The sequence below is a fragment of the Homo sapiens genome, chromosome 15 (assembly GCF_000001405.40).
Source record: "Homo sapiens chromosome 15, GRCh38.p14 Primary Assembly".
Taxonomy (NCBI): Eukaryota; Metazoa; Chordata; class Mammalia; order Primates; family Hominidae; genus Homo; species Homo sapiens.
In genome coordinates this window covers 52,406,138-52,428,771 of record NC_000015.10, presented here as the reverse complement: position 1 = coordinate 52,428,771, position 22,634 = coordinate 52,406,138, and the positions used below count along the sequence as shown (strand labels likewise).

General features: G+C 37.4%; 1 protein-coding gene across 12 annotated transcripts in view; it reads left to right on the top strand.

The window, feature by feature from the left end:
• The window catches only part of MYO5A (myosin VA), a 221,768-nt gene that overhangs the window by 100,279 nt on the left and 98,855 nt on the right, over positions 1-22,634 (top strand). For 11 of the 12 annotated variants that reach the window (XM_047432544.1, XM_047432543.1, XM_047432540.1 and 8 more), the window contains 6 exon segments: positions 203-374; positions 2,798-2,942; positions 12,471-12,627; positions 18,296-18,439; positions 20,632-20,713; positions 21,373-21,480. In XM_047432544.1, coding sequence (XP_047288500.1) covers positions 203-374; positions 2,798-2,942; positions 12,471-12,627; positions 18,296-18,439; positions 20,632-20,713; positions 21,373-21,480 — 808 coding nt within the window. 12 annotated transcript variants of the gene reach the window in all.

Here is a 22,634-nt window from a genome sequence, read left to right as displayed (position 1 = left end):
AATACAGGTTGGTATGTCTAATGAAAACGCACTTCATATTGTTTCCATCTCCACCAGTTTCTGTGATATTGGAAGGTGCTAGGAAAATAATGCATTTAATAGCTGAGAAGCAAATCAGGAATAGGAAGTAAGCAAAATGCATGGGCCTCTTTCACAGTCCTTGCCATAATTCATCCAGATGCTGTGCCTTGTGCATTTTCAGGATTTGGAATACCATCTAGATCCAAAGACCAAGGAGCTGCCTCACTTACGAAATCCTGACATACTTGTTGGTGAAAATGACCTCACAGCCCTCAGCTATCTTCATGAGCCTGCTGTGCTCCATAATCTCAGAGTCCGCTTTATTGATTCCAAACTTATTTATACGTATTGTGGTAAGTATGCTTTGCTTTCCGAATAGACTGTGGACTCTTTCCTCTAATGGACATAGCCATAGAAATATTGTACATGGGGAAAGCAGGCTGTGGTTGGATTTTCTCTAAGAGACAAAATCACTTGAGCGTTATCAGAAAGATTTACCAAGTTGCATTTATGCTGAATAAACTCATTTGTGACCTTACATAATTTTGCTAAAAATAAAAAGACTGGGCCCATCTTTTGGAATTTTTTTCCCCTTACAGAAGTCATATGTCAGATTTAGTGCCAAATTCACCAGTTGTTTTCTTCTCTTCCAAAAACTACTACACGAAGAGTAGATGTCCAAGGACTTATCTTTGGAGCAGGTTCAAGAGATTTAGTGTTATCTTGTGGTCAATTACTCAGCCATGCAGAACTAACTTGACTCGTGGTGATTCGTCTTGCTCACTCCTGCTTGCCTGGGCCCCTGCTCATTGCAGTGTTAGCTGCCAGCCACCCAGCTCATGGTGCTTTTTATCTCTCCAAGAAATAAAGCCTCTGCATGTGTGTGTGTTTGTGTTCCTTTCCCCCTTCTCCAGCTTTCCTTCTTTTTTCTCTCTTTCCCAGTTTGTTCTTATCTTTTATTTTCTCCCTTTTCTCTGGCTATTTTTTCTCCGCTGACGTCTTACCATTCTTTCACTAATCACTCTGTCCTCGGAAGCTCAAATCTGGATTTCCATTCATTCGTGTGGTATATCCAACTCAGTGCTCATGATTTCTTCATTACTCTCCTGTTTTAGACAGGAACAGCCACCTTTTCTTCTTAAAATAATTAACATCCTTTATATCATTGATACTAACTTTTCCTTTCTGGTAACTATTTCTGTTTCTCAATTGTTATTTTTCTTCCATTTTTTTTCCTTGCACATGTGTTACCTTCTCAGTGAAGTCTTGTCTAGCCACCCTATCAAGTCAGAAACCCCTCCTTACTGTGTTTCTTCCCTGCATTATTTTTTGCCTTCTTTTCCTTATTACAATTTAATCTGAGATTATGTATATATATATTTTCTTACTTATCTTGTTAATTGTCTGAATTTCCCACTAGAGTTTAAGTTCCATGAGGGTAAAGATTAGTCTTTTTTGTTTGTTTGTTTGTTTACTGTTGTAAGTTCAGCATTTAGAAATGACTTTACACATAGTTGGAGCTGAATAAACATTTATTGAATGGACGACTTCATTAAGTTAATATACACCTACAGAAAAATTCTTAGGAAATACAGAAAAGTATAAAAAAAGGAAAAACAATTATATGTAACTCACCACTGAAAAATAGCCAGTATTAATATTGATTTACATCCTTTCTCTTTGTATGCATAAGTTGATAGAAAATTGGAATCAGTCTATATATAGTTTTGTATTATGTTTTCCTATGACATTTAATATCCTTCAAAAACATGATTTGGACCTTCTCAGTGAAGTCTTGTCTGGCCACCCTATCAAGTCAGAAACCCCTCCTTACTGTCTTTCTTCCCTGCATTATTTTTTGCCTTCTTTTCCTTATTACAATTTAATCTGAGATTTATTGAATGGACGACTTCATTAAGTTAATATACACCTACAGAAAAATTCTTAGGAAATACAGAAAAGTATAAAAAAGGAAAAACAATTATATGTAACTCACCTGTGCTGTGGCTTACCCTGTAATCCCAGCACCTTGGGAGGCTGAGGTGGGCAGATCACTTGAGCCCAGGAGTTCAAGCCTGGGCAACATGGCAAAATCCTGTCTCTACAAAAAAAATACAAAAATTAGCCAGGCATGGTGTTGCGTGTCCATAGTCCCAGCTACCTGGGAGGCTGAAGTGGGAGGATTTCGTAAGCCTGGGAGGTCTAGGCTGTAGTGAGCCAAGATAGTAACATTGCACTCCAGCTTGGGTGACAGGGTGAGACCCTATCTCAAATTAAACAAACAAACATGATTGGTGGTAGTGGCTTAGTAGTCTATCATATGGATGTAACAGAATGCATTCAACTAGTCTCCTTGCCCTATATATTTTGTTTCCATTTTCACTGTTACAGATAACATTATGATAAACATCTTTGTGAAAAAAAAAAAAAAAACTCTTTGCATGAATTTCTGATTATTTCATTTGGATAAATTGTAGAAGTAAAGTGGAATTTTTGGATTAAATATATGAAGATATTTAAAGTTCTTATAACATTGCCACATTATTTTAAGCCACCTAGTCCAGTTTTTAAATGGTGTTTTAGGCAGAACTATGTATAATGGGTTCAGAGGCGAAGGCTATGATACATTTTGATCCTTGAACAATTTATTGGTTTAATATTAACTAAATTGAAATGAAGGATTGTGTTAACTGTGAGTCTCACTTTACTAAGTTTGATATGCCCATTAGGGTATCATTGACTTCTTTTTCTTTCTTGTCCCCTACCCTATTCCCAGGTATAGTCCTAGTAGCTATAAATCCCTATGAACAGCTGCCTATTTATGGAGAAGATATTATTAATGCATACAGTGGTCAGAACATGGGTGATATGGATCCACATATCTTTGCAGTAGCTGAAGAAGCTTACAAGCAAATGGCCAGGTTGGTAGAAGCTTTCATTGTTATTTTATGGCAGTTATTAGATATGATAATTTCTTCTTGCTAAGTCACATATATTTTAAAGTGAATGGCAACCTTGTAAATAATTACTAAATAAGCAGCCTTGACAAGTTTGTCTCAGGTGACTTGGATTATTATTAAATAATAAAGTGGGCCAGGTGCAGTGGCTCATGTCTGTATTCCCAGCACTTTGGGAGGCCAAGGTGGGCGAATTACCTGAGGTCAGGAGTTCGAGACTAGCCTGGCCAACATGGCGAAACCCCGCCTCTACTAAAAATGCAAAAATTAGCCGGGTGTGGAGGCACGCACTTGTAATCCCAGCTACTTGGGAGGCTGAGACAGGAGAATTGCTTGAACCTGGGAGACAGAGGTTGCAGTGAGCCGAGATTGTGCCACTGCACTCCAACCTGGGCCACAGAGCAGGACTCTGTCTCAAAAACAAACAAACAAACAAACAAACAAACCCCTCACATTTATAAAGGGACATAGAGTTTTTAAAAACTGCCTTTGAAATTTCATCATGATCCTGTGACTAGGAAAAGACAGATGCAGATGTTATGTTTTACAGATGAAAGGATTAGTGTAGTGGTATTAAATGACCTACCCAATGTCAGTCAGCGAATGAGTAATAGACTAGAACTAAAAAGCCTAGGAGCTGTAAAAAAAATCTTTCTGAATCCTAGGGAATTAAATCTAAAGGAAAGTGTGAAATTTTTTTCTTTCAAGATGGGGTCTTGCTATGTTGCCCAGGCTGGGCTTGAACTCCTGGGCTCAAGTGATCCTCCTTCTTCAGCCTCCTGAGTAGTTGGTACTGCAGGCATACACTACCATGCCCAACTGAAAGTGTGAATTTTAACATTAGTATTATATGATAGGGCATCAGTTATCCTGAACAGCATCTGCAAAATGTCTCTTATATTAACCATGGAACCCTAACATTTTGAGGGTGGAAAATGGGAGAAAAATGTTACTTTCAGGACTAGATTATGCTCTTAGTAATATAATAAAATATAAAACTGTGAATGTGTAGAAGAATAGTTTAAGTTTAATTCATTTCTCCAGCCTACAAAGCAGAACACATTATAAATATAATATGGGAAACCCACGAGTAATTTATAAGGTGGAAAGAAAACTAATACTGCAGAGGTTTTTATTTTGTCCTCTCCAGCCAGGGAGAGTATACATGATTGGTCCAGCATGTGACAGAATTTTAGAATTATTTCAGGGACAAAACCCTAGAAATCATTATGCCCTTTTAATAATAAAATAATATTAATATGGATACTTCTAATAGCAGCTAACATTATGTGCTCTGTGAAGGGCATTATTTAATTGCTTTCCATTTTTAACTAATTTTATTCTTATAGCAACTTTCTGAGTTTGGTATTATTAATTTTCATTTTACAAATGAGAAAAATGAAGCACAGAGAAGTTGTGTAACTTTTCTAAGGTCACGTAACTAGGAAGACCAGTTTTCAAATTCAATTAGTCTGACATTATGAAATATTAATGTATTAAATATAAAATGACTAAACATAGGTTAGCACTACAAAGCATGTCATATTATGCCAGCTTCTGCTATAAAATAGTAATTAGTGTTCAAAGCTTAAGAAAAGTTATTTTTTAAGCTTAAAATTGAGAAAATTCCATCTATTGGTATGATTTTTTTCCCTTAAGTTGGAAAAATCTACCAGTAGTTGATTTGTATAGTATCAGAGCATTGCAGTACAGTTTCGACACCACTTAGTACAACCTGAGAACTACTGGGCAGAGAAAAAATCACATGGGTGGCTAGACTCTAAAAATAATCTCTGAAAATTATATAGTGCTCAGAGAATTATATGACTCTTTGGAAAACAGTATTCTTAAATACAAAAGCATAGCTCTTACCATCTTTGTTACTGGTCTTTCACAGATAGTATTAGGTTTATATGAATATTTATGGCTTTTTACCTTTAGATTTACCTTGGTTTCCTGTAATTTTCTCTTCTCATTATTATCTGTTGTGACTCAGTCACTCAAGGTAATTTCTTAACTGAAGGGTTGTTTTGTCTTTTTTCCTTTGGCTTGGTTTTCTTTTTCAGACAGCTTTAAAATATGCCTCAATTAGTTATGGTATTATATTTACCATTTATATAAATAAATCTATACCCATAACATCTGCCACAGCAGTAAAATAGAGTGTATCTATTCAGGCTTACAGTCAGAAATAACTGCTGCAGGATCATTTCTTGCCATTGTTTTCTTTTTTTTTTTTTTTAAGACGGAGTCTTGCCCTGTCACCCAAGCTGGAGTGCAGTGGCGCAATCTCAGCTCACTGCAACCTCCGCCTCCCGGGTTCACGCCATTCTCCTGCCTCAGCCTCCCGAGTAGCTGGGACTACAGGCACCTGCCACCACGCCCAGCTAATTTTTTGTATTTTTAGTGGAGACGGGGTTTCACTGTGTTAGCCAGGTTGGTCTCTATCTCCTGACCTCGTGATCCGCCCACCTCGGCCTCCCAAAGTGCTGGGATTACAGGCATGAGCCACCACGCCCAGCCAGCCTTACCATTGTTTTCTTGTCAAACAAAGATGTCATCTTTCTAGATGCAAATCCTGGTGTTTCACATTATCACCATTTCTAGGGATCCCTCATGTCTTCAGGGAAGGTACAATTCATCATTCATGTAATAGAGATTTATTGAACACCGTCCAAACGCCAGACACTGTTCTGGGCATGGGGGATACAAATTAAATAGACAGGAATTCCTACCCCACGAAGTCAGGCATGATTAACAATAAAACTATTAGCTGGGCATGGTGGCGCACGTCTGTAGGCCGATCACTTAAGCCTCGGAGTTCAGGATTACAGTGATCTACGATTGTGCTACCACACTCCAGCCTGGGCAACATAGTGAGACCCTGCCTTTACAAACAAAATACAAAAACTAGCCAGGCATGGTGGCCTGTGCCTTTAGTCCCAGCTACTCAGGAGTCAGAGGTGGGAGGATCGCTTGAGCCCAGGAGTTGAAGGCTGCAGTGGGCCAAGATGGTGCCACTGCATTCCTGCCTGGGTGACAGAGCAAGACCCTATCTACAAAAACAACAAAAAAGTAAAGTTACAAAAAAATTAGAAGAACATACTGTGCTGGAGCAAGGGTAGAGGCCAGGAGACTAGTTGGGAGGTTATTGCCTTGATCCATGGAAAAGATGATCATTTAATTAGTGGAGGTGGTAAAAAGTAGATGGATTCTGGGTATATTTTTAAGACAGAACTGGCAAAGCCTTGCTTATATGGGGTATTTGAGAAAAAGAGGAGTTAAGGATGGCAGTAAGGATTTGGACTGAGCACCTAGAAGGTTGGAGTTGCTGTTTATTGAGATGTAGAAGATGGCAGGAAGAGCAGGTTGTGTGTGTTGTAGGGTGGGGAGTAGGGGGAAGGGAGCAGAGTTCTAATTTAGATCTTTAAGGTTGAAAAGATGTTTTTGACATCTATCCTAAAAGCAAAACTCATACTAGGAATTCTTTCCAAGCAGATCTATGTCCAGTGACATCAGCAATAACCAGGATCCTTGAGCTGGATCCTTGACTCATGGCTTCTTTTTAAACATGCTCCTTAGAGAGTACAATGCCCTCATAAAATACCTTCCTAGAATAGCCTTTTAATTTTAATTGTCCTTGTTGACTTACCATGGAGAAACACTCAGTGGACTGCCATGCCTATTTTTTTATTTTATTCTTGTTTGACATTCTTGCCAGTCTTTTCTCATGCTGTAACTAGGATTTTTGTTTTGTTTTGTGTTGTTTCCTTAAAACCAGGTAGTGTTGATGGCTTTAATTTGCTATATTTTCTCTCCACTGTGAGTGATAATCAGTTTTATTGACTAAGTTTCATTTATTTAAATTTGCTTGAAATAAGTTATATGCAATTAACTTTGGTCTAGTGAAAAAGACATCTGTACTAGTCACGTATCTACCAATAACTAATCATATAAGCTCAAATCTCCTGGTCTCCCTGAGTCTCCGTTTTATCATCTATAAAACGGAACAGTGTCACTGATGATCTAGCTTTACATGTACAGGTTTCTGTGGTATGCATTTGTTATCTTTATGTTTGATGGGAACTAATGCATAAACATTTTAATTGAGGGGAGACCATGGTAGGGAGCTGTGTAACAAAGCAGAAGAAGCATTGTGTAGACTTTCCCCTGGAAATCAAGAGATGTGGGGTGTAACAACCCAGCTCTACTCTATGCCAGTCATCAGGCTTGGACAAGCCTTTTAACCTCTTGGTGTTACTATTTCCTCCAAAGAGTAGAATATAATGTCTCTCCTGCTTACTTTGGAGGTGAAAATTGTATTAGGTGATACACACAAAAACACTTCGAAAAATACTAAGTTCTATTCCAATATAAGCTGTTCTTATCATCATAGTCATCATCATTATGTGGCCTTATGTCTACATTTCTCTTTTCATTGACTTGAGCCTCTCATCTGGTTTTATTATTTCTGAATTAATTTATTACCAGGCCCTTCCTTAGGGTGGCCCCTTCCGTCATTTGGTTATGTGGTCTCAGGGTGTGCCACGGTCCAGCGGTTCACTGGCTAACTGCAAACTATTAGAGATGACAAAATCTCTTCTGTTTCAGCTGAAACTCAGCTGCCCTGTGATGCTAAGTATCCTATTTATGCAAATAGGCTTTAAGTAATACATGGTTCCTCATAAGGATAATTTTATATATGTTATATAAAGGTGGGTTAACTTAAATTAATAAATATCTACCATATTTGAGGTCTACTGTGTACCAAACATGGTGCCAGGCATGTAATCCTCATTATATCCCTGGAGCAGATCACCACTGCTTTACAGGTGAGGAAAGTAGCTTGTCCAGGCCATATGCTAATAAATGGTATCTAAGAGCTGAGATTTGAATCCAGCTTTGAGACTCTGAAGCCTTTCTTCTTTGTCATTTAGTTTTCTTACTTTCAACTACCTGGCCCTATTCTAACAGATCTATTCCCTCACGTTAAGATGGCATAATTCTATTTCTACATCTTTTATTTAGCCTAGAATATCTTGCTCCATGCTTTTTTATCTGTCTGATTTATATTTATACTTCATTATCCCACTCAGATTTTACTTTCAGATGACCCCAGCTCACAGTAAATGATTTCTCTTTAGAATTCTCCATTATATGAGTATCTTAGTCTGTTTTATACTGGTATATAAGAATACCAGACTGGGTAATTTATAATGAACAGAAATTTATTTGGCTCATTGTTGTGGATGCAAGAAAGAGCAAGGTTGATAGGCTACATCTAGTTGAGGGTCTTCTTGCTACGTCATCTTATGGTGGAAGGTGGAAGGGAAGAGAGCATGTAAGACAGAGACAGGAAGGGGGCCAAGCTCATTCTTTCATCAGGATGCCATTACTGCAGTAACTAACCCACTTCCATTATGACTGCATAAATCCATCCATGAGGGCAGAGCCCTCACGACCTAGTCACCTTTTTTTTTTTTTTTTGTAATACAGGGTCTCACTATGTCACCCAGGCAAGGGTGTAGTGGCACAGTCATGGTTCACTACAGCCTCAACCTCCCAGGCTCAAGTGATCCTCCCACCTCAGCCTCCCAAGTAGTTAGGACTACAGGCATATGCAGTGATGCCCAGCTAATTTTTTCTTTCTTGTAGAGATGGAATCTCACTATGTTGCCCAGGCTGGTCTCAAATTCCTAAGCTCAAGTGATCCTCCTGCCTCACCTTCCCAAAGTGCTGGGATTACAGGCGTGAGCCACCATGCCTGGCCTAGTCACATTTTAAAGTCTCACCTCTCAACGCTGTTGTATTGAGGATTCAGTTTGCAACATATGAACTTTGAGGAACACATTCAAACCATAACATTAAACTGCTAGTTTGGGACTTACTGAATATTATCTACCCCAGAAGGTTGCAGCAGGAATAAAATACAGTATATATTAGAGAACTAGAGTATGTAAAAGTTATAAACAAATATAGTTGGCTATTTCTGCTCTAGCATCTTTATATAATGCATAGGCTCTGTACTGATGGAACAGAAAACTCAGGTTGATTTGAGAGGATCTGATAGCCATGTGACAGGCTTCTCACCAGGAACTGAGTGACCTCAGCAAGTATCTCTAGGAAACACTTGTTTTCATTTCCTGAGAAGTCTGTCTGCCTCTCTAAAGCGTTCAACAGTGCCAGCAACCATTTTTATAGTAAATATTTATGCTTCAAAAATAAAATTAATATTATAATTGTAAACTCATTGTCTAGTATTAACTTTAGGGTTTAAGCATTTTCTTATTGAGACTAATTAAAAGTAGGAATCAGAGAGACACAGAGAGCAGAGCAGCTTGATTTTGATGAGTGATGATGTAGAAAAACTTAGCATCTCTCTAACAAGAGAGAGATTAAAGTCTCAGTGAAGCCACATCTTTAAGACACCACGGTAAAAACACAGTTTTGAAAGAAAGCATTTTATTACACTAACTTAATATTTTCTCTTTTTAACAAGGGATCGGATAAAGGGAGAAACAATTAGATTGGTTGCCTGCAAAAAAGTAAAGCTCTAGATTTTGTTTCACATGGCCATGTTTGTTTATAAGCTAAAAAGTTAGACCTAGGTGCAGGTGCATGTACACTTCATCAAGGTACATGACAACACTCAATGGGTGGTTATCAGAGAGTTAACATCAACATAGATGGGGATATTAAATCGTGTTATACATTACTCAGGTTTGAGGCAAGCATTGCTTAATTTCCTTGTTGATGACGTAGATGTAATTGAAAGTATGTTTATTAAGTTTACAGAGGACAAGTTGATGATCTTGGAAGATATGAATAGTGTTTGGTATGACCATGATAAACTAGAGAGATTACATATTTTAAAGGGTAAAATTCGAAAGGAAAATCTATAAAATAATACATTTCATACAAAATGAAAACTATAAGGAAAGACCCGACAGACCAAATAGATATAAGGTCACTGATGACCATAAGAGGAAAATAAAGGCTAACAGACACCCTCCCCCACCCCGGCTCTCTCTCTCTCTGTCTCTCTCTCTTTCTCTCTTTCTCTATCTCTCTCTTGCTCATCCTTGAATAATTGTTTCCTGGGGTTTCGAGTGCTTCTACATAATTTAACTCCATTTCCTTATTCTCACAGAACCTGGTTTTCTCCTAATGATCATATATATGAGTCAATTCTGGTATTACCCTCTCAATTCTGGTATTACCTTCTCTGGAAAGGCTTTCCTGACATCTCCTCCTCACATCTCCTACTGGTTCCATACCCTTCCTTTCTACTTTCATAGTATCTTAGATAGACCTTTTTTATAGCAGTTACTTCCAACTGCATTTTAATTGTGTCCTTTCTAGTCTCTCTCAATTGACTATGACCCTAGAGTCTTTTATTTCCATAAAGTGATTAGCACATTGTAGCTGCTTATTATGTGTTTGTTAAATGAACGAATGAAGCAGTATTTTTAAGAGGGCTTTTAGTTCACATTAGACCTTCTGGAAACAGGTCAGAAGAGCTCACCTCCACTCCAAAGCACCCAGTACCCAGCCTATTTAGGATTATTGTGGAGGCCCTTGAAAGGACTGGCCAAACCAGAAATCATAAATCTGTCATTACTCCATTTTCCAGCTAAGCTGAGTTATCTGCTCTTTCCAAACTTCTGATTCTGAGCCTTCATTTATGCTATCCCTTTTGCCTGGAATGTACCCTTCCTGACTTCTGTAGTCCTTGCTTGCTTTCTCTTACTCATTTTTGTAGACCTTGTTCAGCTGTCATCTCTAGGGAATCTTCCCTGATAACCTCTTCTTCCTCTTACGGCCCCATCACATGTATTACAGTCTTGAATTATTGGCCTGTCTTTCCTATTAGATGACTGTCTTAGTCCAGTTTCTGCTGCTATAACAGAATACCACAGACTGGGTGATTTATAAAGAGCAGAAGTTTATTTGACTCACTGTTCTGGAGGCTGAAAAGTCCAAGAGCACAGCGCTGGCATCTGGCAAAGGTCATTCAGTAGTAGGAGGGCACATGAGCATGTGAGGCAGAGAGGAAATCAGCTTAAACTCATCCTTTTATCAGGAGCCCACTCCCGTGATGACTAGCTCACTCCTGCATTCATGCCATTAATCCATTCCTGAGGGGAGGGGCCTCATGACCTAATCAGCTCTTAAAGGCCCCACCTCCCAATATCATCATGTTGGCAATTAAATTTCAACATGAATTTTGGAGAGAACATTCAAACCACAACATCCGTCAACCACATGAGGATACAGATCATGACTTATTTAACTTTTAGTTGAATGAAGCCAAGCCAGCAAATGGACTATTTCTTCTCTAGTGATGAGGATACTTTAATAGGAGCTAGAGTTTGTGGGAGATGCCATTTTGAGGATTGTTAGCTGGTAATTTAAAATATTTTAAATGGTTTTGTAACTTTAAACAAATTAAATTTCTTTGTAAATTTAAATTTCTTTGCTGTGGCTTCAAAGAGTATCTCCTGAAGTGGTTGACAACAGTACTGTAAGATATTGAAGTAATTCTTTAGGAATAAAATAATATGTTTGAGATTTGTACACATAAGAATTCAGAGGCCCTCTATTGCAGATTCATCCTTAGTTGTGATGCTCTCTAATTTAATGCTTGATATCTTCTTCCTCTGTGTTATTTTTTAATTTATAAGTAGATATTATTTTTAGGAAATATCATTCTTATGTTCCTTTCCACACTGTTGCATGTATGAACCAGCAAAAACTCACTGTGCCTTATCACGAAGAACACAGAAGAAATAATGTTAATCACATTGCCAAGTGGGCAGTGGAACAGGAATTAAAAGAAATTAAAGAATGTGTAAGCAGAAACTCAGTTGTATGTAAGAAAATCCATTTCCCCCTGAGAAAGAGAAAGAGCTGGAGTCCTTTAAAAATTAACTGCCTGTTTTTCTTTGGCTAGTGAGCCTTATCTCTCCTCCTTTCCCAGGCATTGTGAAGACCCTGTTTCTCTAGCTGTGCAGCTGCAAAGTCACTAGACAGATAAACCCAAGTCATAAAACATGTTTTTTCTTGAAAAGAAATGATGTAATGCATGTCTCAATTAATTGAATAACTGTCTTTGTTTCTTACTTCTGTAATATGCTTCCCCCTGCACAGATCTCCCCCACACCCCATGAAATGTTTAAAAGGTAACTTAACGCTTTGTTCAGGGCTTGGTCCTTTGGATGTTAATCTGACTGGGCTGGTGCACCTAAATAATAAATATCCTCCTCAACCCCATCGGTCTCTCTGATTCCTTAAAAAAAATATATATATATCCTGCAACATTTCTGGTGGCCAGTATAGGGATTGAACCTGAGACCTTGGTGTTATAAGCACCAGTATCGACCAAAAAATCCATTAATTAGCCCCCTACTTCCATAGAGACCATAGTTTCCCTTATCAATCCTGCTATAGGCAGCAATGGCAGTTACTTTTTAAAAAATTTTTATTTTACAGAGATGAACGAAATCAGTCCATCATCGTAAGTGGAGAGTCTGGGGCAGGAAAAACAGTCTCAGCTAAGTATGCCATGCGATACTTTGCAACTGTGAGTGGTTCTGCCAGTGAGGCCAATGTGGAGGAAAAGGTCTTGGCCTCCAACCCCATCATGGAGGTAAGACAGCGAGTCTTCGGCTTTCTTCCTATATTCTCTTGATAAGAAACATGCTCAAAAAATTGATTGATACAGCATGTCTCAGAAAGCCTGGGGTCTCCAGCCACTAAAATTAAGAAAATGCTTTTCTACATGTTTATAAAAAATCTAGGGAAAGTAAAAACTTGGTAAGGTAGACATTTTTAGTAAAGCCCAGCTATAGCGGAATCTGTTTTAGTCTATAATCCTGAATTTTTGACCTACCAGCAAAATTGTTGCCCCTAAATACCAGGCAGCAATTAAGTTTCCTTCTCCTCATTAACTGACTCATGTCTATTGTTCCTTTCCTTGTACCAGAAGTACAAGTTACTCATTTCCCCCAAGTCCTGAGTTCTTATTTATGCTCCTTCTAAAACATAAGATTTGTTATGCTCAAGTATGAATGAGTTTCCTTATTCCTTTGCCCATATTTCATTTTCTGTACTTAGTCCGACCTCAGTTGGCTTAAATTTTAATATAGCTAAAGTTTTAATTTTTTTCCAGATTTGAACTACAAACTTAAACTATGATCTTTATAAGCTTTTTGTTGTTGTTGTTGTTCTGTCAAGCACATAACACAGCTATAGGTTCATAAAAGACAGTAACTGTAAGGTTTTGACAGGGGAAGAACTATGAAAAAATGTGCTTTCAAAACTTGAATACACCATATACAAAGTAGAAATGCCTGTGCCAATGAAAATGGAACTAATTGTGTGAGAATTTGAGTGTTTTAGGATTTGTAGATAATTATCTGTCTATTAATAAGATTTTTGGAAAGTTATAGTTTTATATGAAGACTTATTAAATGGAGAAAAATTACTTTTGTTAAATGGAGAGAAATTAATTTGGACATGCAGAAGCAAACCTTCCTTGTTAAAAATTCAAATCGGCATTTTTTTATTCCTGTCTTTTTCCTTTGTCAAGCTTTATTTGTCACCCAAACACAGATGGAGTTAAAATCGGCCTGGTGCACCTGTGGTACAAGTGGTTTTTGCGATAATCTATGTAGAGGTAATTGTGCTTGGTTTGCGGTGCTGCGTGTGACACTTCAGAACAGAATGCCGTGACCTCTTATCTGTAGGGCTGCTCTCTAGAGCAGCAGGACTTCTACTTTTTGGGATTGAAAAACAAGATATGATGGGGAAGTTCAGAGGCTTCATGGGCTGGATGTGCTATGGAAAAAAATACTGGGAATACTTTCTGAAATAGGATGAACAGGAAGAAACAGATGTTTGCACCGAAAGAGAGTAGTGAAAATTTTAAGCAAATGTTAAGATTTTGAAAGAATGTAAGCTACAGATACACTGCTGGATGTCACTAGTGTTAATACTGGGGAAATAGAATCTGTGGAGCCAGTTTTTGGTTTGGGGTCAGAAAACAACAGGGCTTCTTTTCTTGCTGTTGTTGTTTTGACTGGTTTTGGTCATGACAAATTCTTGGTATTTGACAACAGTTCCAGCCATTTTAGTCCCTAGCATTAGAATATCCCAAAGTCTTGAATGTGATGGCATTAGGTAATCCCATTTCTTCCGGGCCTGGACCATATAATACTAGGATTTGAAGTTGTCTGTGAAGATAACTTAAGTCTAGAATGAACCTTCTAGAATTTTTCATGAGTTGAGTGTACTATTTTATGACCTCTTTCAAAAAAAACCAGCTTTATTGGTTTTTCTGCAACACAGATTTGAATTGTATTAGTAGGAATATATTAAAAATTTGGAATAGCTACTGTCTTAGTCCATTTAGTGTTGCTATAACTATAGCCTCAGAATACCTGAGGCTGGGTAATTTATAAAGAAAGAGATTTATTTAGCTCATGGTTCTGTGGGCTGTACAGTAAGCATGGCTCTGGCATCTGCTAGGCTTCTGGTGAGGGCCGGCGTGCTGCATAACATGGCAGAGAATGTCACAGGGCAAGTGGACACACACAAACGGGAAACCTGAGGGCCTCCCGACTTCATAACAACCCACTCCAGTGGAAATGAATCCAGTCCCGAGAGAACTAATCCAGTCTCACAGAGGGAGAACTCACTACAGGAGAACTTTACCAAGGCTTTCACTATAGATTTGTCCCCATGACCAAAACACCTCCTACTAGACCCCACCTCCCAGCACCTTCACATTGGGGATCAAATTTCAACATGAATTTTGGTGGGGACACGTTATATCCAAACCACAGCAGTCAAAGATAATACTTACAGTATGCAATTATAAAGAATATGCCCTGCTTGCTGGGATGAACATAAAAGATAAAGGGATCAGCTATGCTCACCTGCTTCCTTCTCTATTATTTAGTCTGTCTAAATAATTTGAAATTGTTCATCTATAAGAATTTGGATTAAGAAAAATTTGGTAAAGAGTTGAACTAATTTTCAATAACTACAAAAAAGGGCATCTCAATTTGAAAGTTGGAAATGTGATATGGAGCTGAAGATCAGTTACTGGAAGAAAACATAGGTAAAATATTGAGTATGTAGTCTGAAAAATTTGTAGCTTTAAATCGCTTCAATACTATGTCCCTATATCAGAGCCCTTTGCTGAGATGTCAGGAAAGGCATATCGGCGTCTCCAGTGATCTGCTGAAACTCCTCATAGGATAATGAGCATCCTACATGGTTAACATTACAATCCAGGGTCTAAAGAGATATGCACATTATTCTTTAAAAAGGAAGCTCCTCATTCTCAACATAGGCTTCTTTTGCAAAATGTGAATGATGTACAGATAATTATTCTATTTGCTTCATTTCATGTTTTCATTTTTTCCTGGAAATTTTCATCATAAGATGGGAATAGCACACTGAAACTTTTTTTTTTTTAAGAGACAGGGTCTTGCTCTGTCTCGGCCTGTCCCAGGCTGATCTCAAATGAACTACTGGGCTCAAACAATCCTCCTGCCTCAGCTTCCCAAAGTGCTGGGATTATGGGTGTGAGCCACTCTACCAGGCCTGGATGTTAATTTTTTTTTTTTTTTTTTTTTTTGAGACAGAGTTTCGCTCTTGTTGTCCAGGCTGCAGTGCAATGGCATGATCTCAGCTCACTGCAGCCTCCACCTCCTGGATTCAAACGATTCTCCTGCCTCAGCCTCCCGAGTAGCTGGGATTACAGGCACATGCCACCACGCTCAGCTACTGTCGTATTTTAAATAGAGATAGGGTTTCACCGTGTTGGTCAGGCTGGTCTTGAACTCTTGACCTCAGGTGATCCACCCGCCTTGGCCTCCCAAAGTGCTGGGATTACAGGCATGAGCCACCGCACCCAGCCAGTTGTTCTTTTTTAATTTCAATAACCATAATTGAAGATTTTCATCTCCATTTAGTAAAGAAGAGTGACTCATGCATCATTACATTAAAACAGTAAAACCAAGATTACCAAGATCACAAAATTTATTTTTTCCTTTAGTGGCTTCTTGCTGATTAAAGTGAATATAGTATTAGGGAGTCTCTTGTGAATACAGTGCTTATATGGCAGAGGCAACAATTGAGGGAGTGGACAAAAGATACTGTTTATGTATAGAAATTTCTTTCCCTATCAGTTTCAGAACTTAGAATCAAATAATTTTATTTTTTAAAAAGAACCCTAGAGCTCCACTATCCTAGTCAATTTACATTTGAGGATACTAATGCTCCTCAAAGAGATTAAATAATGACAAGTTGATAATAGGGCCTGGTCTGATAGGTCTTCGGGCTTCTAATTCATTTGTTCTTTTTACCATTGTTTGTCTATGTTTAAATACATTTTATTTGAAAACAAAAGGATCTGCTTCAATTCTAGCCAATCCCTGCCTCTTCTCACAGTGTGGTGGTGTTTCGGCAGGTGGGCCACTCTGACGCCCAGTCTGAGTAGGTGGGGAGAGATGATATGTGGAAGGTGGGGTAAGAGTTGAGGAAGGAGGAGAAGCTGTGGCCCACCCTTCCTCCACTTGCTTAGTTACTGGCAGGAAAGTGCTTAGGACAGTTACTAATATTTATTGAGTGTTTATTGAGTAGCTGCTGCTACTTCTACTACATGTAATCTTTCATTTGCTCTTCGGAAGAATATATTGTGTTGAGAGAAAAGTCTGCATTTATAATTAATCTGCTTTTCTAAATAAAATAGTGAGACCATATACAGACTTTTTGCTGTGGTGTTTTGTAATATCAAGAGGGGTAACATCTGAGTAAATGAATAGATAAATTATCTGAGGCTACATTAGATCCTTCTGTAATTTTGCCAGGAAGATATTCTTATTTTTCTAGAAAAGCATTTAAAATGTTAATCTAAAATATAGCAGTGTCCTCACTGCCAAAACAAAATAGGATGTCTACACTCTATTTCAGAAAGTGAAAATATATTTTCTTTGATTGATCAAAGAATCTAATGTGTTGACTTGTATGGCTGTGTTACTATTGTTTTCATTACTTACATTTGTATCACTCTTAAAACTACATTGTATTTTCACATCTTTCTGTCTGCTGTGGTTTCAATTTACTAATCCTGACATAGGCTTTACACAAGTGAAAGATATTAATTTTTTTGAAATTTGCTTATTAAACATTTAATATATGCATTATGTAAACACTTGGTTTTCTAACTACATCTTTTTTTTTTTTGCTTTGCCTTAAAAAAATTTATAGAAGCGAGTTACCTAAATCAGAAAGACATATGTCATTAAAATTTTTAAGGTTATATAAAACATTTAGCAGCAAGTTATATTCTCTGTATTCTGTAGCAGATATTTTGTAAGCTAGATTTAACTATCAAAATCCAAAGCCAAATTTTACTTTTTCTGGTTCTGAAAATGGCCTTTAAATTGAGTGGGTAATACTAATACTCTACTAATAAATAGTCTAACTGGACCTTTGTTGCCACAGGATAAGGTGATAGAAACATCAGGCTAAAGAGACCCTGAACACCAGAGCAGCATTTCCAGGAAATATTCATTGGTCTTAACCATCTTATTTATGTAAAGCAGGTGAAGTTTTTTGGAAAAAAATAAAAACCTGAAGCTTACCTAACAAAGCCTATGCCTTGGCAGCTCCCATCCTCGTTTGTTCTCTTTCTTTGCTGGCATGAATGTTCAGATAACCCAAAAGGTTTTATGAAAATATTCTAACCTCTGAGTTCAGGTCTGCTGTTTCTGAAAATCATTTTTGTGAGAATAACAAGACAAATAAAAACAATTAGTATATATCTGTGTGACTGTGCAGTGAGCAAAGCATACACCTGTGCCTGCAGTGGCAAAAGTGGTTCTGTTCTTAAAAGAATCAGTTTTGGCCAGGTGTGGTGGCTCACGCCTGTAATCCCAGCACTTTGGGAGGCAGAGGTGGGTGGATCACAAGGTCAGGAGCTCGAGACTAGCCTGGCCAACATGGTGAAACCCCGTCTCTGCTAAAAATACAAAAATTAGCTGGGCGTGGTGGCATGTGCCTGTAATCCCAGAGGCTGAGGCAGGAGAATCACTTGAACCTGGGAGGCGGAGGTTGCAGGGAGCCGAGATTGTGCCACTGCACTCCAGCCTAGTGACAGAGCAAGACTCTGTCTCAAAAAAAAAAAAAAAAATCAATTTTAAGGACCTGTGTTCTACTCCATCTTTTCTCTCTCTGAGCAGATTCTGTAAATGTCATGTTATGAATTACACTTCTAAAATCTTATTTTCTCCCTTGCTTTTTAGTCCATTGGAAATGCTAAAACAACCAGGAATGATAATAGCAGCCGTTTTGGGAAGTATATTGAGATTGGTTTTGATAAGAGATATCGAATCATTGGTGCCAATATGAGAACTTATCTTTTAGAGAAATCCAGAGTGGTATTCCAGGTAAGCTGGCCATATACACATATGCACTTGTGTTAGATTGCTGTATAATTGTTGAGTCCATGCTTGCTGGTATGCATTTTATTTCAAGATACTCTTGAGCATATTATGACAATATTACCTCCAACCACACTTGGACTGAAGCCTGTAAAATGGTGCCTGTTAGAGGCAAGGGAGTACCACTTAAATGCTAATAGTTTTTGGGACTGGTCACTTTTAGGTTTGACTTTTTCCTACAGGTGCTTGCGGGAAAGCTTAGTTGAGAACAGGTGCTATTGGTTTAGTCTTGTCTCTCATATTTCCAAATGATAGGGAAGGCATTGTTCCATGCTCTCAATAAGTTAGTTTGAACTCAGTGCAAGAAAAAAAATTATCTTGTCCTCTTTCCTTCCTTCTTCTCCTCTTTCAGAATATATTATTGTTTAGATAGAATAGTGAGGGTTAAAAAAAAATCTTCACAACCCAATTGTGAACTACTATCAAAAAAACAGTTGATGCATCTGGGTAGGGTTTACATCCACATATATGCTCTTGGTCCCTTTTGATTGGTAAGTGGGAGATATGGGAGATACTATATATTTCCATCACTAGCAGGCATACATTTATATATTTATAGGTATGGGTTTATCACACACTGTCAGTTCTGTAGACCTACTGCTTGCCTCATGCTGTGAGATTTGGGTTTCATTAGCCTCAACTGCATGCCCACTGCATTGAGGTTCAAATACCCTTGACACTGCCATGTAACAGTGTCCACAATTTCCATAGCCCAGGTCTGTCATAGGTTTGAAAGTGTCTGAGAATTTGAGCAGTCTGAAGTTGCTCTGGCTTTGACTTTGGGGCTGTGCCTGATTTGTGGCCACCTAAAATATAGTACTTGATTTGCATAGTAAGGCAATACAAATGAAGTATTATATTTAATATCTAGGTACATACAGAACAGTGTTACTATGCTGATGGCTATTTCTATAGGTTTTTTTTGAAAAGTGTCTACTTTGATAACCAGAAGAAAGAATGGGTGAAACAGAGGTAGATCTAAGGGAAGATTCAAATATTAGAGTTCAAATAGTAGAGGTTTGATTGATAGGTAAGTGAGTAAGCAGGGGGGAAAGATGGTCCTTGGTCAGTACGTGACCAAAGGCTAGTAGTGCTTAATACAAAATGGTAAAGCCCAATCCTTATTGTCTTGTTTAGAGACACTGAACCATTTCTAGCAGTTTCCCAGTCTCCAGTGATATAGAATGTCAAGGATGTTTGGCTTGTCAAAATGAGTCACACAATCAGAAAAGGCATACTTGTATTGTCCTTTATGTACAAAGAGGACCTAAGCATTTCTGCAGACTCACAGGCTTTTCTAGTTTCTGTGTGCTGAACCACCTGGTCTCCTGTTTAATCATGCTTGTGGTCATTGGTATACTGGTAATTTGTTCAGTGGCTTCTGTCCCTATAATAGGTTTTCTTTTCCAGACATCAGCCCCCTGTGGGCATCAAACCTGACCTTGGCCTTATTAATACGATTCATTAGCCAACTGAGTATACTGTAAAAATGAAGGATATAGTGATAAACTATTAGGTGTATGAACAATATTATTGCAACTGTATTTTTTAGATATATGTGTGGAAAAGACTCTCAGGAAATACTGAAAAATTATCTTAGAATTTATATGTGATTTATTTTCTATTTTATAAAACAGTTATTGATTTAAAATGTATAAACTAAAATGATATAGAAGATGTACATTTGTGACTTTCCTACAAATAACCACAGTAGATGGTCCAGTCTACAATATGGCAAGAATGGGATTATTCTTTTTTCAAAGCATTTGGAAGACTGTGAATCTAAGAGGTACCATTAGAAAATAGTATTGAGTATTGCAAAAAAAAAATGATTTTAGTTTCCCCCAAAAGCACTGATTATCTTATGATTGTTGACATATATCAAGCTGTTCACTAGTTCAGAAAGCATTACTATCCGATACTTTATGTTGAATTTGAGCAACACACACATACTCATACATATGCATATAGACTATAAATCATAAGATTTAATAATCAGAAATAAGTATTAGGAAATATAGGAAAGTATAATTTATTTAACCAACTGAGATAATTAAATATTAAAATCTTATTTTATGATAGAATTCCCTGAATTTTAGATTAAAATGCTGTAATTGAAAACTCTTCTTATTTCGAAGGCAGAAGAGGAGAGAAACTATCATATCTTCTATCAGCTTTGTGCCTCAGCAAAGTTACCTGAATTTAAAATGCTACGATTAGGTATGAATATGGCATTAAATTTATTGTTCTGGTATTGTTTTCTGTTAATTTCCAAGTTCCTAAATTTACTTGTTAAAAAGGAGCTTATCTCATGTTGGAATACTTATGGATAATATGATAAAAAGTCAGCCCTTGGCTTCAAAATAACCCATAGGGGTAGAGGAGGAGTAAGTGGCTGTATAAATGGAACAGGATTGGCCTGGAGGTGATTTTAGATGGCTGTTTAAGATGAGTAATGAGTACCTAGGGGCTCATTCTATTAGTCTCTCTACTTTTGTATGTGTTTGATATTTGCTTTGATTAAAGGAAAAAAAAAATTAAAGGAGTTGATTTGTTAGAAGCCAGTAGGGTTTCTTATGAGGGGAGTAAAGGATTTGAGGAAATTATTCTAGTGTGTAGATTGGAATAAAACCTTTAGGAAAGGACTATTTATTTTACCAATTAACATAAATAAACTATAAATATTTTACCCCATTTATTTAATTAAATTTTATTTAATTTTTAATTTTTTATTAAAATACAATTGAAAACACAGGCAGTCAAACTCTAGATGCTGTACACTCAACTGTGCTATCACCACCTCTGATTCAGAGTGGACATAAGGTTAGAAGGCAAGGCTTTTTCATAAACCAGAAAATTTTTATTTTTCTTCATTACAGGAAATGCAGATAACTTTAATTACACAAAACAAGGAGGCAGTCCTGTGATTGAAGGAGTGGATGATGCAAAGGAGATGGCACATACTAGGCAGGCCTGCACTTTGCTAGGTAATGTCACTTTATTCTTGAGCTCTTAAGAGGAATAGCTTTTTTACTCAAGCAACCTTTGTTTAGAATATTGGCTTGACTTTTTATTAAGTGGCAAGTATTGCTAGAAGATTTAATATTCCACATAGAACACATTTAGACAGCAAATGGGCAGGAGATTTCTTTTTGGGATGATGGAACTGTTCTAGAATTAGATTGTGGTAATGGTTGTGCAACTTTGTAAATTTACTAAAAATCATTGAATGGGTGAATTTTATGGTATGCAAATTAGCCTTCAATAAAACTGTTCAAAATATATATTTGGGGCATCAGGGGAGGGCTACTTGTAATTCTTTGCTTAAATTTTTACAAAATCTGAAACCTGAAGCTAAGTGAAACGGGCTCCTCTACAAGCTCGCATTTTGTAGGAGCTATTGGTTTATTTGTTTGGTTTTGGGGATCTTTCTGTGGCTGGGAAATGTGGCTGAGTTGGCATCATGACAGAATATTCCATTACATGTAGTTTATTCCAGCATTTTTTTTCTGTTCCAACATTTCTGAAGCAGCTCAGATGTCACTATCTTGTTTCTGGGATTTAAAAAATGTTGGGCCTTCATGTGAATAAATTAATCTTTAGAACTTGTCATCTACAACTTAAAGAAAAAAAAAACCTCAGAATATAGATAACTCTAAAATCATATGATGGCATTTTGAGTAGTACCCTCAGGTGAGTTAACTTAATTTAAAAGCACTGCTAATTACAGTGTGGACCAGGACCATTGTGGGCCTTGCTAGAAATGCAGAATCTCAAATCCCTTCTCAGACCTACTGAAACATAATCTGCATTTTATCAAAATCTATTGGTGATTCATATGCATATTAAAAGTTTGAAAATCACTGCATTTCTTCTCGTGCTAAATCTGTTTGTAAATAGTAAATTTGTGAATTTGAAAAAGCCATACAAAGTTTGCAGTGAGCTGAGATCACACCACTGCACTCCAGCCTGGGTGACAGAGTGAGACTGTGTGTCAAAAAAACAAAAAAGAAAAAGCCATAATGCAGGAGATGGTAAAAAACATTAATTATAGGGTCATTACTGAATTACCCTTTCTAAGATTACATATTTGGAAATAATTTCACTGCTTCTATTTGCATGTAATTATAGCTAATTTTCT